The sequence below is a fragment of the Homo sapiens genome, chromosome 3 (genome assembly GCF_000001405.40).
Source record: "Homo sapiens chromosome 3, GRCh38.p14 Primary Assembly".
Lineage (NCBI taxonomy): Eukaryota > Metazoa > Chordata > Mammalia > Primates > Hominidae > Homo > Homo sapiens.
The window spans coordinates 178,000,507-178,017,254 of NC_000003.12; the positions used below are offsets into that span (position 1 = coordinate 178,000,507).

Here is a 16,748-nt window from a genome sequence, read left to right on the forward strand (position 1 = left end):
CACCTCCTTCCCCTTCTGCCATGATTATAAATTTCCTGAGGCCTCCCCAGAAGCAGAAGTCTGTATAGCCTGCAGAATTGTAAGCCATTTAAGCCTCTTTTCTTTGTAAATTACCCAGTCTCAGGTAGTTCTTTATAGCAGTGCAAGAATGTACTAATGCATTCTGCTGCACAGGCTGGGGTGCAGTGGCGCAATCATAGCTCACTGCAGCCTCAAACTCCTGAGCTCAAGCAATCTTCCCATCTTAGTCTCCTGAGTAGCACAGACTACAGGTGCATGCCACTATGACTAGCTAATTATTTTATTTTTTGTAGAGACGGGGTCTCACTATCTTATCCAGGCTGGTCTCAAACTCCTGGTTTCAAGTGATCCTCCCACTTTGGCCTTCCAAAATGCTGGAATTACAGGCATGAACCACCACTACCTGGCCCATACTTGATTTTTTTTTTTTTTTTTTTGAGACGGAGTCTTGCTCTGTTGCCCAAGCTGGAATGCAGTGGCGTAATCTCGGCTCAATGCAAGCTCCGCCTCCCGGGTTCATGCCATTCTCCTGCCTCAGCCTACCGAGTAGCTGGGACTACAGGAGCCCGCCACCACGCCTGGCTGATTTTTTGTATTTTTAGTAAAGACGGGGTTTCACCATGTTAGCCAGGATGATCTCGATCTCCTGACCTCGTGATCCACCTGCCTCGGCCTCCCAAAGTGCTGCGATTACAGGCGTGAGCCACCGTGCCCAGCCTTGATTTTTTAAAGGTAGTTTCTATCTGTTGTAATTACTATTTGTTCCTATATATAATCCGTCTTTCCTACTAGATACCTTAACATATTAATAATGGCTATTTTATTCATCTGATTGCTTTAAAATCTAGGTCATTTCTTTGGTTTTGTGGATTGCTTTTACCATTAACAATTGATAGCTCTTTTTGGGTTTCATTTGTGTGCCTTGTAGTTTCAATTGAGTGATTCCATTGTGTGAAAAGGAATTACTGGGTCTGAGATTAATAGTATTTATGTCTGGAAAAGGACTTGCATCTTCTTTGGTGAAGTTCTTAGCATGGTGAGTGGATTTAATATAGTTAGTTGTTGATCTGGGCTTGGATTATTTTCCTTGATAATGCTGTTCTAATGTAGCACTGGCTTTAAATCTTACAGCATTTGTCTTCCATTAGCTTGTGCTTAGTGTGGTGCCTGGGGACCTGGAGGATCTTTCTCAGTGCTGGAGTTGTACTCTCTGGTTTTGGTAGAACCACCCTGCATAGCTGTGCCACACAGGGAGTTTCTCTCCTAGCTCGTGACCAGCAGTACACTGTTGTTGCATGTTAGTTTTGCTAGGTTTGTAATGGAATGATGGCATTTTTGTTTTGTTTTATTTTCCTGGTCAGTCTTAGGCAAGATTTGTGTGCCTGGGCCTCAGGGGTGGGGCTTTCTCTACATCCTGTTCTTCTTTTTCACCCCAGCCAAACACTGCTTTATATTTTTTTGTGGTCTTAGGTAGGAGTTTCCTGTTCTTCCTCCAGTTATGACAGATCTCTTTGTGTTATGAGTGTAGGATGCTAGGTTCAAGACAATTTCTTGCCTTTCCCCCAATGTCTTAGTCCATTTGGGGAGCTATAACAGAATGCTATTGACTGGGTGACTTATAAACAACAAATTTATTTCTTACAGTTCTAGAGGCTGGAAAGTACAAGATCAAGGTGAAATCAGACTCTGTGTCTGGTGAGGGTCCTCTTCCTGGTTCCTAGAAGGTCATCTCCTTTCTGCATCCCCACATTGCAGGAGGGTTGAGTGATCTCTCTGGGGTCTCATTATGAGGACACTAATTCCATTTCTGAGTGCTTTACTCTCATGATCTAATTACCTCCCAAAGGCACCAGCACACTGAGGATTAAGTTTCAACATATGAATTTTGAGGAGATACAAACATTCAGTGTATGGCACTCAAGTAGAAGGACTTTTGCTTTTACTTCCATCTCAGCAAGAATGGAGGCTGTGTCCTAAGGATGAGAAGCTTTTCTACTCCTTTCCCAATAAAATGTTGGTTTTATTCTACTCCTATACCAGAAGCAATGCATCTTTACCCATTTGCTGAGAGTGAGAGCGTTCATTGCCCTTCTCTAGAATATTAAGGCTTTTGTTTTGTAGGAAAGAACAGTTCAGGGAAGTAGGCACAGCTCTGGCCTGGTCATTAGTAACTGCCAATCATCTCCTTTATGCCTGTGCCACACTGAGTGGCACTCTTCCCTGTAACCTGCTCATCCTCCAGTCTTTCTTGTAAGCATCTGATAGAAGTCTGTGGAATAGAAAATGTGAGTGTTGGCTTCCCTACATCTGGTTCTACCAGCTCTTCTAAACTTACATGCTTGACCACACTTAGTATTGAAGAATTTATTAAGCTTTTGCTAAGTTGTTTTTATCCATTTTATGTTGTATACTCTGATGTAGGTGAATAAGTTTGTGTATCTGTTTTTTTTTTTTTTTTTTTTTTGAGGCTTGCCCTTCTTTGGAATTGCATTTATTTGATTGTCTTATATCATGAATTGAGTGTTGGTATCTCCCAAAATTTCATATGTTGAAATCCTAACCCTCAACATGATGGTATCAGAGGTAAGTCCTTTGGGAGGCGATTAGGTAATGAGGGTGGAGTCCTCATGAGAAGGGTTAGTGCCCTTACATGAAGAGACATGACACCTTGCTCTTTCTCTACTCTCCACCAAATGAGGATACAATGAAATGAAGGCCATATACAAACCAGGGAAAGTATTCTCACTGTAGACTGGATCTGCCAGCACCTTGGTCTTGGACATCTCTGCCTCCCAACCTGTGAACAATAAATGCTTGTTTTTTAAGCCATCCAATCTATGGTATTCTGTTATAACAGTCCTAATGTACTTCGTATACCTTTTGATCTCAGTTTTCTGATGGGCCCAAGAAAAGTTAACGTTTTGTAGATTATATGGCTTTTCTTTTTTAGGAAAAGAGCAATGTTTTGCATCTTTCAACATCTTTAAAGAAAAGTAATCTTGAAGTGAATGCCAGTACTTTGGCAGGTGCTTAGTAAACTTCTGAAACCATGTTTTCACTGTTTCTCTAGCCCACCCTCCCTCCCCAACTCCTCCCCTAAAGCTTTTGCTCCCCTTCATTTTTAAAGTCTTGCCAGAAGAAAGACTGCCCAGATGGTGAGTGGAAAATGTAGAGGAAGGCTCTGTGCCTTATATAGCCCGAACTATAAACTTGTAAAGACACTGAGTTTTACTTACTTAAATCTATTTTATTTAAAATGTAAATATAAAATATTTTATTTCTATTTTGGACAATATAGTAGGTAGCTAGCAGATCAGTAAAATTACAAATAGAGCAAGTGCAAAAGAAGAACAGGTGGAAGACAACAGGAAATGTAGGTGCTGACTCAGCCTCACTTATATGATGTAGAAGAATTTGGGAAATGAAGCCATTAGGTTAGGCAACTCTCTCTCTCTCTGTCGTCACGTTCACATGTGTTAGAGAAAGGAGTGGTTTGGTAAAATATGTCTTCAACCACAAAATTTGACAGTTTTGGAGAATAAGATATCTGATATTCAACTCCACAAATGTGGTGATAAACATAAGTGATATTTAGCCCTCTTAATAACATGAAAAACACTCACACACATGGAGCTGGATTTTCTCCTGGAAAAGATAGGTTTTAAGTTTTACATGAATTTGTTAACTCTCTGCTACTAGACATGGAGGGCACTTGGTTTCCCAGACAAGGTGTTGGGAATGAGAATCCTACGTCTGCCAAACCTATTTGAACTTGTTGCCTTGTTGTGAATCTCTACTAGATCGTTTGGCATCTCATGCACAATTTTTTAATCTTATAAATGAGAGATTCATGTAAATGTTTAACTCAGTCTGAAAGAAGAAATCTTGAAAGGGCAGCCAGGGAGAGTGAGAGCAGTGTCAAAGAGGCAAAAAGAGGTCAGACTTATTTCCTTATCTAAAAGGATTTTATATATCACAACTTCAGGTCTCTTTTCACCCTGCCTGGGGAAGCTCTTCAGCTCGTCTTTAGGAAGCCATGCTCTATCATTGCCCCATTAGGTGGACTTTCTTCTTACAACAGCTGCCATGTGAAATACTGGGCTTGGGTTATTATCACAATTTCTGTGTTTCACATACATTCTGCCTGTGTCACAGCAAATCGATTTCTCTAAAGGGATCATCAATCCAAGACTATGGGAACAAGCAAATTCTCCTTGGCAAGTCATTTCTAATTATCAAAATGTTCCAGATAAGTGATTACTTCTCTAGGAATGTTCTAAATGTGAGCTCATATGAAGAGGTTTGTGTCTGTAGAATGGAAGGGATTTTTATTGACCATCTAGTCTGCCTACTGACTAAAGATCTTTTTTTTTTTAATTTTCTGACTAAAGATCTTTAGGAACGATCATGCAAACTCCACTTTGATATCTACTGTTGTGAACTGACCTAAAAAAATTAGATGTAAAAATATTAGCCTCCTTTGAGTAGAGATTAATAGCCTATAGTTTTTATCTGCTCTTATACCATCTTTCTAAGTAATTGAAAATAAAATTCTTCTTCAAATATAGACATTTAATAGCAAGTATACACAACATAAGCTCTACGAATTCTTGGCTTTATCTTTTTGTGTGTGTGTGTGCTAAGACTGTACTAAGGATGGTAGATTCCCCTGAAGGCAAACGCAGCAAATGCAATATGATTCCAACAGTAGGACTCGGCTGATGTTCTAGTTAGACTTGGGTGGCCAAAAATCCCCCAATCCAATGTCTGGACAGAGGTCTCTATAGAAATCAAGTCTCGGGTGCAATTCTTACAGCTAAATTTTGAAAGGCTAGTTAGATTCTTAAACTATAGTCTTCCAACAGACTAAATGCCTCTAACAGTTTTTGCGTCTATTTGAAAAAATCACTAATCCCTAATTTCAACAACAGAAATCTATTTCTAATATTATTTTGTTAACCTAGAAAGGCTATGGTGTTGACTGGCCAGTAAAGATGCTTAAAGCTCTTGTAGTAGCCACCTTTATCATGTGTCACTTTAATTATGCCTTGATTTATGCTCATTTCAAATTATTCATCTCTCTGTTTCAGCAGGCGTCTGTCTTTGAAAATAGTGAGGGTAATGCTGGTGGATAAAGGGAAGGCTTGCAGGTAACAGTTAGTCTGGGCAAAGGTAGTTTGAGGTCAGCTCTTTAGAGTGGGGATTTCACTGGATCCTCTGAGGAACCTGAACTTTTCATATTTCTCTAATAAATGAGGAAGTTTAGGGACATTATTACCTTTGAACAATCTACATAAGTCATAAATACATCTTCTCCCTTGATGTAAGGGAATACTAAAAGCAAAAAATACTAATAGTTTTCCAGCCTAAAATCCCATTTGGAGAAGGATGGGCATAAAATATTGATCTGTATCTTCTACAGTCCAACCTCTTTGAATTCATCTCATAAAAGCAGACCTGGAACTATTTTTGGTGCATTAGTTTTATGAAAGAGACCATACAAACTCCTATTAGAGACTTGGTCAAAAGAGTCAGTTTAAGTTTTTTTCTGGTCTCCATAAAAATTCAAATTAATTTCCTGTATAATCTACATCAATGGGGATACACAGAAGTTAAAAAAAAACTCTCAAAGAAAGATTTAATTGTATTCATCACAGTAAACTTACATAAACCAGGATGTGGTTCAATTTATTTTGAAAGGATTTTCAGCATTAAAGGTTAAAACAAAAAGAAGTCTCTAGTTAACCTTCAATTAACCATAGCTGCCTGGCACTTTCTATTAATCAAGATTTTACTCCTTCTCGCATTATTTTTATGACATCCAATTTTATTTGGTTTCTTCAATATATTTCTCAGAAGTGAAATAGCTCTATTTTATGGATGAAAATCGAATCAAAATGTAGAAGGCTTACTGTGACCTTCATAAAGTCATCTCCCTGAGGTTCTTTTCTTATTTTTAAAATGACAATAACGAGGTCTACTCCAGTGTGCTGTGTAAGAATGGAATGAAATCTTGCAGAGAGGCAAGGTAGCATTGGAAAGACTAAAGGTTTAGGAGTCAGGTAGATGTAGTTTTCACCACATATGAGCTACGTGACATTGGGCAAGGAATTGACATTTATAAGCCTCAGTTTCCTTATGAATAAAATAAAAACATAAATCCTCATTGGGACATTGCCATGTTAGATGAGGTAATATTTGCAAAGGTCTTGGCATATAAAAGGCAAAATAAGGTAGCTTTTTTTTTTTCATTTGAGAGAAGACCCTGAATATGACTACAAAAAAGTATGAGAACCAGTGTTAGAACTTGCGTGTTTTATTATCATCTTGTGTCTCTCTGGAAATGTTTCTTTCTCTGTAGTCAATATCCATATCATGAACATGCACTGTGTAACTAGTTTCCCTCTTGAAAAATTCTTAGTCTATTTTTGTTTTCTTTTAAGTCCTGATTAAGGATAAGGTTAGGCTTCTGTGAGTTCTTGTCTCACAATTTTGTTCCTTTCAAAGCAGCAAAAGAATTTAGGTGTTGGGAGGAAAAGTCATAGTTGTATCTTAAAGCAGTGGTTCTTAAGCCACTTTGAATCGGATTTACCTGGAAGGCTCTTAAATAATCCCAGATTTAAGGTCCCCATTCCTGATTCAGTAAATCTGAAGTACATCACTAAAATTTGTATTTGCCTAAGTGATTTAAAAAATTCTCTGTAATCATGGTAAAATATACATAGCATAAAATTTGCCATCTTAACCATTTTTAAGTGTGCAGTCAATGGTGTTAAGTAAATTTTCATTGCTGTGCAACCACTACTATCCATTTCCAGAACACTTACCTTGCAAAACGGAAACTCTATTTACATTGAACAATAACTCTCCATTTACCTCTCTCCCCAGCCGCTGACAACCACTATTCTATTTTCCATTTCTATGAATTTAGCTATTCTAGGTTCCTCATATAAGTGGAAGCGTACATTATTTGTCTTTTTGTGACCGGCTTATTTCACTGAACGTCATGAAATCAAGGTTCATCCATGTTGTAGCATGTGTCAGAATTTCCTTTCTTTTTAATGCTGAGTGATATTTCATTGTATATATGGATCACATGTACTTTATCCATTTATCTGATGATTACTCTTCCCCAAGTCATTTTTAAAATATGAAATACTTCACAAATTGGCATATCATTTTTGCACAGGTGCCATGCTAATTTTCTTTGTATCATTCCAATTTGAGTACACATACTGCCAAAGCCAAGGACCCCAAATTATTTTTGAAATCACTGATAAGGCAATTTTTTCAGATGCACATTGGTGGGACATTAAATCAATCTAATTTGGTGACCAATATTTTTTAAAAACATAGAATAGAAGAAAATAAAATAGGTAAAAATTGTAATAATAGGGAAATATATTATTTTAAGTATTTTATTTCTGTATGTGTGTTATTGTGGGAGAGAGGGGTTATGTGAACTAAATCAGGACATACTAGCTGTTCTCAGTTTAAAAAGAATAAAGGCCACCTGTCCAGAGACCTAGAATATAGAATCTAGTTGGATGATATGTAAATTAACATAGTGTTCTCAGCTCAAAATGTGTAGAGGTACTATAGTCCTGATTTTACTTTTAAGATACTTAAAATTTAAGATTGAGAACAGCCTTCTATAGACTGATGTGGACTCCATGCTTCATCATAGAAGTCTGAGTATTGCTTATTAATGAATCATTTTCATAACATTGTATTAGGAGTTACATATAAATTTGGCATCACTTTGATACACTAAGCTTTTATAGACTCCAGAAGTAGATAAAGAATTTCTAACAGCAGTAATGGAGAGGTGTGAATGCCACCAGCAATTCAAGATTCTGTTCCAACTCAGGAAACATACTACCCCAATCAAAATTAATTTCCTCCCCCTTTGGCATTTTTCTCAACCATATGTAGTTTTAAAATTATTGTGGTGACTTCTATCGCTCTTTTGAAAATATACAGGATGTATTTATCGAAGATAAATATAATTTTACTTAGTATGTTTTCTGAAATGATAGCACACAATATATATCAGAAAATAAGGCAATTATATGATAACTGTTTGTGAACTGTATTTGATTCTGCCAGATTTTATGAAAGATATATGTTTAACATATGTAAATGTTTATATTAGATCATATGGAATATAATTTTCGTATGCCTTTTAAAGAATTATGGAATTCATGTTCTTCCTCAGGAGAGTGATTTCCAAAGTGTCTTAGATTTTTGCGTATGACTCCACTTCAAATCCTCTGTGATTTGCATCATGCTGTACCATTTGACCCAGCAATCCCATTACTGGGTATATATATAAATCATTCCATTATAAAGATACATGCAGACATAAGTTCACTGAAGCACTATTCATAATAGCAAAGACATGCAATCGACCCAAATGCCCATCAATGATAGACTGGATAAAGAAAGTGTGGTACATACACACCATGGAATATTATGCAGCCATAAAAGGGAACGAGATCATGTCCTTTGCAGGGACATGTATAGAGCTGGAAGCCATTATCCTTAGCAAACTAACCCAGGAACAGAAAACTAAACACCCTATGTTCTTAATTATAAGTAGGAGCTAAATAATGAAAACACATGGACACAGAGAGTGGAACAACATACACTGAGGCCTGTCGGAGGGGCCGGGGAAGGGAGAGCTTCAGGATAAATAGTTGATGCATGCGGGGCTTAATACCTAGATGATGGGTTGATAGGTGCAGCAAACCACCATGGCACACGTTACCTATGTAACAAACCTGCATGTCCTGCACATGTATTCCAGAACTTAAAATTAACTTTTTTTAAAGTGCATAATCTTCCCAAATAACTGAAGTTATTTGTCTTCTGTTAATTCACAGAGAAAATAGTGGCATAGATGGATGCATAGATAGACGAATAGATGGATAGATAAATATATAGATAGATAGAAGATAGATAGTTAATACATATAAAATAATATCATCTAAATACAGAATTAAGACTTCAAAAATTACAGTAAATGGAGACACAATTAGACTTTAAATACATAATGAGAGTTATGTTCAGAACTATAACCCTTAGCAGTCTGTAAGAACATTTTACATTGTGGATCTTTATTGGTTCCCACAATTATGTGAAAAAAGGCCAAACTATATACATTTTACAGAAGAGAAAACAGGTACCAACATTAACAACCTTGCTGAGTTGCAGGCCATGGTTACGTCAGAGTCAGGAATTGATTTCTGCAGAATTGCTCCAAGTCCAGATGTTATCCTGCTAGACTGTGTTTCACGAGACAAGTAGAATTCTTCCCTATGGTTTAGTTTTCCTTAAAGTCCTTTCAATTTCAGAATGAGACACTCTTGAGCAAATCATGAAGAATTTAAGAAAGTAAGAAATTATTGATAATAATTACAAATTTATTTAAAAATGCAGAGTAATAATAATTTTATTCTCTCCCTATTTTCAAACCTACCCTCAGCAGAGATTTCAAACTTGGATGATGCTCAGAATCAGCTTCAGGGCTTTTGGAAGATAGTGATTTCTACACCCCAGACTTACATATTGCCCAGGAATCTCTGTTTTTGTAAAGGTCCATAGCTGATTCTGATGCTGAGCTAGGTTTGAGAACTGCTGCTTTAGAAAAATATGTTAGAGTAATTTTGGTGGAAAACCTATTAGAAAAATCAAATAGAAGACAGTACATAATGTATTTACATACCATAGTCCACAGTTCTGAAGAAAGTGCAGATTTTGTGTAGCCAGAGTTTATATCAATCAGGGAAACTTCTTTTTTTAAGAAAAAGAAAACATAATTATCAAGATGAAATTAGTTTTAAAGAAAGAATATTTACTAAGAGTGAGAAAAGTAATCACAACAAATTATACATTTTAAAGAAGCTTAAACCTACCACAAACATTATTAATTGCCTAACGCAACACTGTGCTTCACAATATCCTAGAAATTGCTCCACATTATTCAACAAACAACTTCCTTATTCTGTTAAAGGAAATAATGTGCACTGTGTAGATCTACCATAGTTTATTCAATCACTCTCTTATAAATGGGCATTTACATTGTTTCTAAGATGTTGCGATGACAATGAATGATTTTTTTTGTGTGTGTTTGTATGTGTGTGTGTGTGTGTGTGTGTGTGTGTGTATCTTCATAGTATTGGATGTGCAACTTCAGAAAAAAATCCTAAAATTGGGATCATTGGGTCGTAATGTAAACATATATGTAATCATTTGGATATTACCAAATTTTATCCCCTAAGGTTTGCACCAATTTTCTTTCCCACCAGCAATATATGAGGGTGCTTGTGTTTCCACAGCCTAGTAAGAGTACTGTTATTTTTTTTAATTTTTACTGATCTGGTAGGTGAGAGTCGGCATCTTAGTTTTGTTTTAATTTGCATTTCCCTTTTCTCATATCCTGAATGAGGTTGAACATCTATTCATATGCTTAAAGGTTATTTTTATATCTGTCTTGTGAATTGATATCTTTTAAAATAAAGAATTGAAATATTTCAGGGTTTTCCTCCCAGGTGTGATAAATATACTGCAAAATTCTATATGCTGATTTCTACCTCCATAAAATATATTTCACAGTTATTGTAAAGACAGCAATTATATAATTGAACTGTGAATAATGGCTTGTTGTTTGTTATTGAATGATACATCTTAAAGGTATATATCTTAACTTCCACAATTCATAGCGAGCCCCAGAGGAGGAAAATAAATGAGCCAATTCCATCAATAGGCATTGGCAATTGTAGTGACATTTATTACCATATTTCTTACATTGCTGTATGTGTTTGGCCATTCTAGTATCACTGTTTGAAATAATTTTTACAAAATCTAGAAATGTTCCACTATTTCATATCATTTTGTGCTAAAAGGGCCACAAAAATATGCCTCAAAACATCATTTCAGTGTTCTATATCAGCATTTACTTGTTTTTATTTAAAACTATTGTTTGCTATTTATTCAATTATTTCCATTCTAGTAGTTGCACAAATGCTTATGTGCAAATGATGCAAATGACGTTTCATGTTTTTGTGGTGTGTGTGTGAGTGTGTGTGTTTGTATTATCAACAACCTAAATGTTTTCTGTCACAAATATTACATTGTTCCAAACCGATCTGAGAAGATTTGTTGAGAAGCAGGTAAGAATAATAGTAAAATATTTTGTCTGTGGAATTAGAATAGAAAGGGCAATTTTATTTTATTTTAAACTTTTATTTTAAGTTCAGGGGTACAAGTGCAGGTTTGTTACATAGGTAGCTTGTGTCATGGGGGTTTGTTGTACAGATTATTTCATCACCCAGGTATTAAGCCTAGTACCCATTAGTTATTTTTCCTCATCCTCTCCCTCCTCCCACCCTTCACCCTTCAAAAGGCCCCAGTGTGTGTTGTTCCCCTGTATATATGTTCTCATCATGTAGCTCCCACTTCCAATTGAGAATATGCAGTATTTGCTTTTCTGTTTCCGTGTTAGTTTGCTAAGGATAATAACCTCTAGCTCCATCCACGTACAGAAATACCGTTTGACCCAGCAATCCCATTACTGGTTACATACCCAAAGGAATATGAATAATTCTATTATAAAAACACATGTATGCATATGTTTGTTGCAGCACTATTCACAATAGCAAAGACATGGAATCAAGCTAAATGCCCATCAACGATAGACTGGATAAAGAGAATGTGGCACATATACACCATGGAATACTCTGCTTCCATGGTATTAGTATGCAGCCAAAAGAATGAGTATCTTGTTCTTATTCAAAAAAAAGAATGAGAAAGGGCATTTTCATAGTTTCTTTTTCCATTTGAAGAAACTGTAGTGTCAAACAAAATTTTCTGCAATGTTCATCCAATAGAAAATCAAAATAAATGATTTGAATCATATTGTGTTTTTCTAGAAAATGTTCATATCGTCAGAATGATGCAATGGCAATTTTCTAGGATAATATTCTAAAAAACATAGTAAGTCTCCCAAGTTTCTTTAAAATAAAATTTTCTGATTTCATGAATGCAGTTTGTCCTAATGGGCAGGCCGTAGTTGTATTTGTTGCTTCTGAGTTGGGAAATTGATATGAATAATGTTTTTTTTTTATTCCCACTGTTTTGCTCAGCAATCAAAATCTTCGCGTAGTACAGAAATTACATGATCAATTCAAGTTTTGTATTTGATGAAAATAATATTCTTTCTCACTGTCATTACTTTGATCCTTATTTTTTATTAAAAATTATTTTGTAATATTTTGCTTTAAAAATGTCATATAATTTATGTTCAGCAGAAGCCTCTTTTGTTTTCAGTTTTTAAACAGTTAAGCAGATAACTTCTTTGGGGTTTTAAATATTTTCTTTTTCAGTTTTTTTCCTTTTCTCAGCTCAAAGGTATTTTCTATTCCAATTATGATTTGATGTTTTAATTCACATTGATCTCAAAGATTAGAAAATAGTAATAAGGTTTCATTCAACGTACACAGAATGTGAATATATATTCTTCAAAATGCAAATTAAAGCAAATGCAAGAAGTTGAAAATGTGAAAGAGTTTTATGTTATCAAAATTGTTCTTTCAAAAATATTTCAAATTTCCATTAAAGTAAAATAAAATTCATATTTAATATAGGTTAGAATTTGAAGTCAAAATGATTAACACCTGAATTTTAAAATTTAACCTTATAAAACATTTTTATAAAATAAAACTATTTGCAATTCTATTTGCCAATATAAAGAATTAGTAACCTGTTTTTATATACATACATATTCACAAATTTATAAAAATATAAATTGTTTAATATTGTACAATATTTCAACATTTCTCAGACACTATATGCACCTGTTGCAAATACCATGATAATTTGATGGCAATTCCAGAAACGTGATTTAGAACACCATGAAAGACTGATAAATGGTCACTTGGCATTACTTGGAAACTGTTTCACATTCTACCAGAATCTATTTTATTCACATTATCTGAGGGGAAGAATGAGTTTTTATTGTCTTTTACCTGAGTGCTGCCACCACTTAACTCTTTCTGGTATTCCTTAGCAGGGTCTGTTCCCTACCTCTGCCTCACAGCAAACATTCATGGAATTTAAGCCCAGTTGCTTTTTGTTTTTTTTTGTTTTTTGTTTTTTTTGTTATTATTATACTTTAAGTTTTAGGGTACATGTGCACAATGTGCAAGTTAGTTACATATGTATACATGTGCCATGCTGGTGCGCTGCACCCACTAACTTGTCATCTAGCATTAGGTATATCTCCCAATGCTATCCCTCCCACCCCCCACCCCACAACAGTCCCCAGAGTGTGATGTTCCCCTTCCTGTGTCCATGTGTTCTCATTGTTCAATTCCCACCTATGAGTGAGAATATGTGGTGTTTGGTTTTTTGTTCTTGCGATAGTTTACTGGGAATGATGATTTCCAATTTCATCCATGTCCCTACAAAGGACATGAACTCATCATTTTTTATGGCTGCATAGTATTCCATGGTGTATATGTGCCACATTTTCTTAATCCACTCTATCATTGTTGGACATTTGCGTTGGTTCCAAGTCTTTGCTATCGTGAATAACGCCACAATAAACATACGTGTGCATGTGTCTTTATAGCAGCATGATTTATAATCCTTTGGGTATATACCCAGTAATGGGATGGCTGAGTCAAATGGTATTTCTAGTTCTAGATCCCTGAGGAATTGCCACACTGACTTCCACAATGGTTAAACTAGTTTACAGTCCCACCAACAGTGTAAAAGTGTTCCTATTTCTCCACATCCTCTCCAGCACCTGTTGTTTCCTGACTTTTTAATGATTGCCATTCTAACTGGTGTGAGATGGTATCCATGTGGTTTTGATTTGCATTTCTCTGATGGCCAGTGATGGTGAGCATTTTTTCATGTGTTTTTTGGCTGCATAAATGTCTTCTTTTGAGAAGTGTCTGTTCATGTCCTTCGCCCACTTTTTGATGGGGTTGTTTGTTTTTTTCTTGTAAATTTGTTTGAGTTCATTGTAGATTCTGGATATTAGCCCTTTGTCAGATGAGTAGGTTGCGAAAATTTTCTCCCATTTTGTGGGTTGCCTGTTCACTCTGATGGTAGTTTCTTTTGCTGTGCAGAAGCTCTTTAGTTTAATTAGATCCCATTTGTCAATTTTGGCTTTTATTGCCATTGCTTTTGGTGTTCTAGACATGAAGTCCTTGCCCATGCCTATGTCCTGAATGGTAATGCCTAGGTTTTCTTCTAGGGTTTTTATGGTTTTAGGTCTAACGTTTAAGTCTTTAATCCATCTTGAATTGATTTTTGTATAAGGTGTAAGGAAGGGATCCAGTTTCAGCTTTCTACATATGGCTAGCCAGTTTTCCCAGCACCATTTATTAAATAGGGAATCCTTTCCCCAATGCTTGTTTTTCTCAGGTTTGTCAAAGATCAGATAGTTGTAGATATACGGCGTTATTTCTGAGGGCTCTGTTCTGTTCCATTGATCTATATCTCTGTTTTGGTAGTAGTACCATGCTGTTTTGGTTACTGTAGCCTTGTAGTATAGTTTGAAGTCAGGTAGTGTGATGCCTCCAGCTTTGTTCTTTTGGCTTAGGATTGACTTGGCGATGCGGGCTCTTTTTTGGTTCCATATGAACTTTAAAGTAGTTTTTTCCAATTCTGTGAAGAAAGGCATTGGTAGCTTGATGGGGATGGCATTGAATCTGTAAATTACCTTGGGCAGTATGGCCATTTTCACGATATTGATTCTTCCTACCCATGAGCACGGAATGTTCTTCCATTTGTTTGTATCCTCTTTTATTTCCTTGAGCAGTGGTTTGCAGTTCTCCTTGAAGAGGTCCTTCCCATCCCTTGTAAGTTGGATTCCTAGGTATTTTATTCTCTTTGAAGCAATTGTGAATGGGAGTTCACTCATGATTTGGCTCTCTGTTTGTCTGTTGTTGGTGTATAAGAATGCTTGTGATTTTTGTACATTGATTTTGTATCCTGAGACTTTGCTGAAGTTGCTTGTCAGCTTAAGGAGATTTTGGGCTGAGATGATGGGGTTTTCTAGATACACAATCATGTTGTCTGCAAACAGGAACAATTTGACTTCCTCTTTTCCTAATTGAATACCCTTTATTTCCTTCTCCTGCCTAATTGCCCTGGCCAGAACTTCCAACACTATGTTGAATAGGAGTGGTGAGAGAGGGTACCCTGTCTTGTGCCAGTTTTCAAAGGGAATGCTTCCAGTTTTTGCCCATTCAGTATGATATTGTTTTGAGGCCAAGGTGAAGAGCCCTAGAGAGGCATTCTCTGGAGCCGAGCAGTGTTACAGGAGCAGATCTTCAGTCTTAGTATTACAGGTTAGTACATTTCTGTTGTATGTTGCAGTGCTTCCTAAAGTGTGGGGCTTTGAGAATGGCCCCTCTCACCTGGATCAAAGCCTTATCTTGAAGTATAAAGGGAAAAGAATATTAACAGCATTATTTTGACTCCACATACTTTGTTAATACATATGTTTACCACAGTGAGTCTTGAATAATTGTTCTTCCCATTTTACCCAAGCCCCCTTTAATGTAACAGCAGGATTAGTCCCATCTGGCCATCTTCATTCACTAGATTATATTCCTGTAGCAAATGTGAATATATTTGCTTTGAAAATTGGGAGAAAGAAATCATATTCTATAATCAACGTTTCTTTTTTTCTGACAATTAACACAGTAGTTTGGAAACGAATATTTTATGGTATATTTTATTAGCTAATCTGAGCTACTTTCATGTCCTTGATCTAAAGGCAACTTATTTTTCTTAGGAATAAAAACAAAGAATGTATTGATATTTTCTCTCTTTCAAAATTCCCTGAGCCTTTATATAAAAGCTGAACCATTTTATTCTTCTAAAGAACTCTGAAAAGAGAAAAATTAAAAAATTAAAATGCCTTTTTCACTTGAGATATATTCAGATCAACAACCTGAAAGGCAAGATTAAAGGCAGTTCATTATTTCTTAGGGCCTTTATACAGTGCGGTCATTGATTTGGGTTCAAACACCTGGCTGGGACTTATATCTTTCAAATCTTTCTCTTCTATCTAGAACTTCTAATTAAACAGTTTCCACTTTTGGTGATATTTATAAATTACTCACTGCTTAAAAGGATTGACTGATGTTGGTTGGGAATCAAATCTCCAAGAGATCTGCCATTTCTACCTTTTTACACACTGCAGACTCACTGGGTGGCTCAGCCACTGATACATATAATTATTTTAAGTTTATGATATTATTCTTAATTTGAAAAAGTTAAGAATTACTCAGAATCCAATGTGCAGAATCAGTATTCATGTGCCCAGACTCCTGCTGGATTGAGAGCTGGGGGTTGAGACACAAATGGAACCTGGAGTTAATATTACTGTCACGGTAGTAGAACAAGCAGAGCTAGTCCTCTCAACTGAAGCAGAGAGGCAGGTAATAACTATTGGTTCTGCTGCTCCAGAGGCCAGCAGACTGATCCTAACATGGAATGAATCTTTGTGGGATCCCCTGTGGTCCCTGAAGTTCAGGGGAAGTTTCCTTATTCTAAAAGACTGCAGAAATTATTTCATGGTACTGTGCCTGTCATTGACTTGAGCTGTCACAAAGCTAAGAGTCTATGACCAATTGCCGCTATAGCAATTGTCTGCAGCAACCCCTCTGAATTCCCTCCAAAAGTTAATTGCCCGCAATGCAAGC

The 16,748-nt window shown here is 36.1% G+C and overlaps 1 long non-coding RNA gene and 1 pseudogene across 1 annotated transcript in view; one reads left to right on the forward strand and one right to left on the reverse strand.

Annotated features, from left to right (window-relative positions):
* Positions 7,166 to 7,273, reverse strand: RNU6-1120P (RNA, U6 small nuclear 1120, pseudogene; annotated as a pseudogene).
* The window catches only part of LOC105374234 (uncharacterized), a 50,070-nt gene continuing 48,594 nt past the window's right edge, over positions 15,273 to 16,748 (forward strand). The window contains exon 1 of the long non-coding RNA XR_001741026.1: positions 15,273 to 15,386. This is a non-coding gene — a long non-coding RNA (uncharacterized LOC105374234). The remainder of the gene's footprint in view (positions 15,387 to 16,748) is intronic.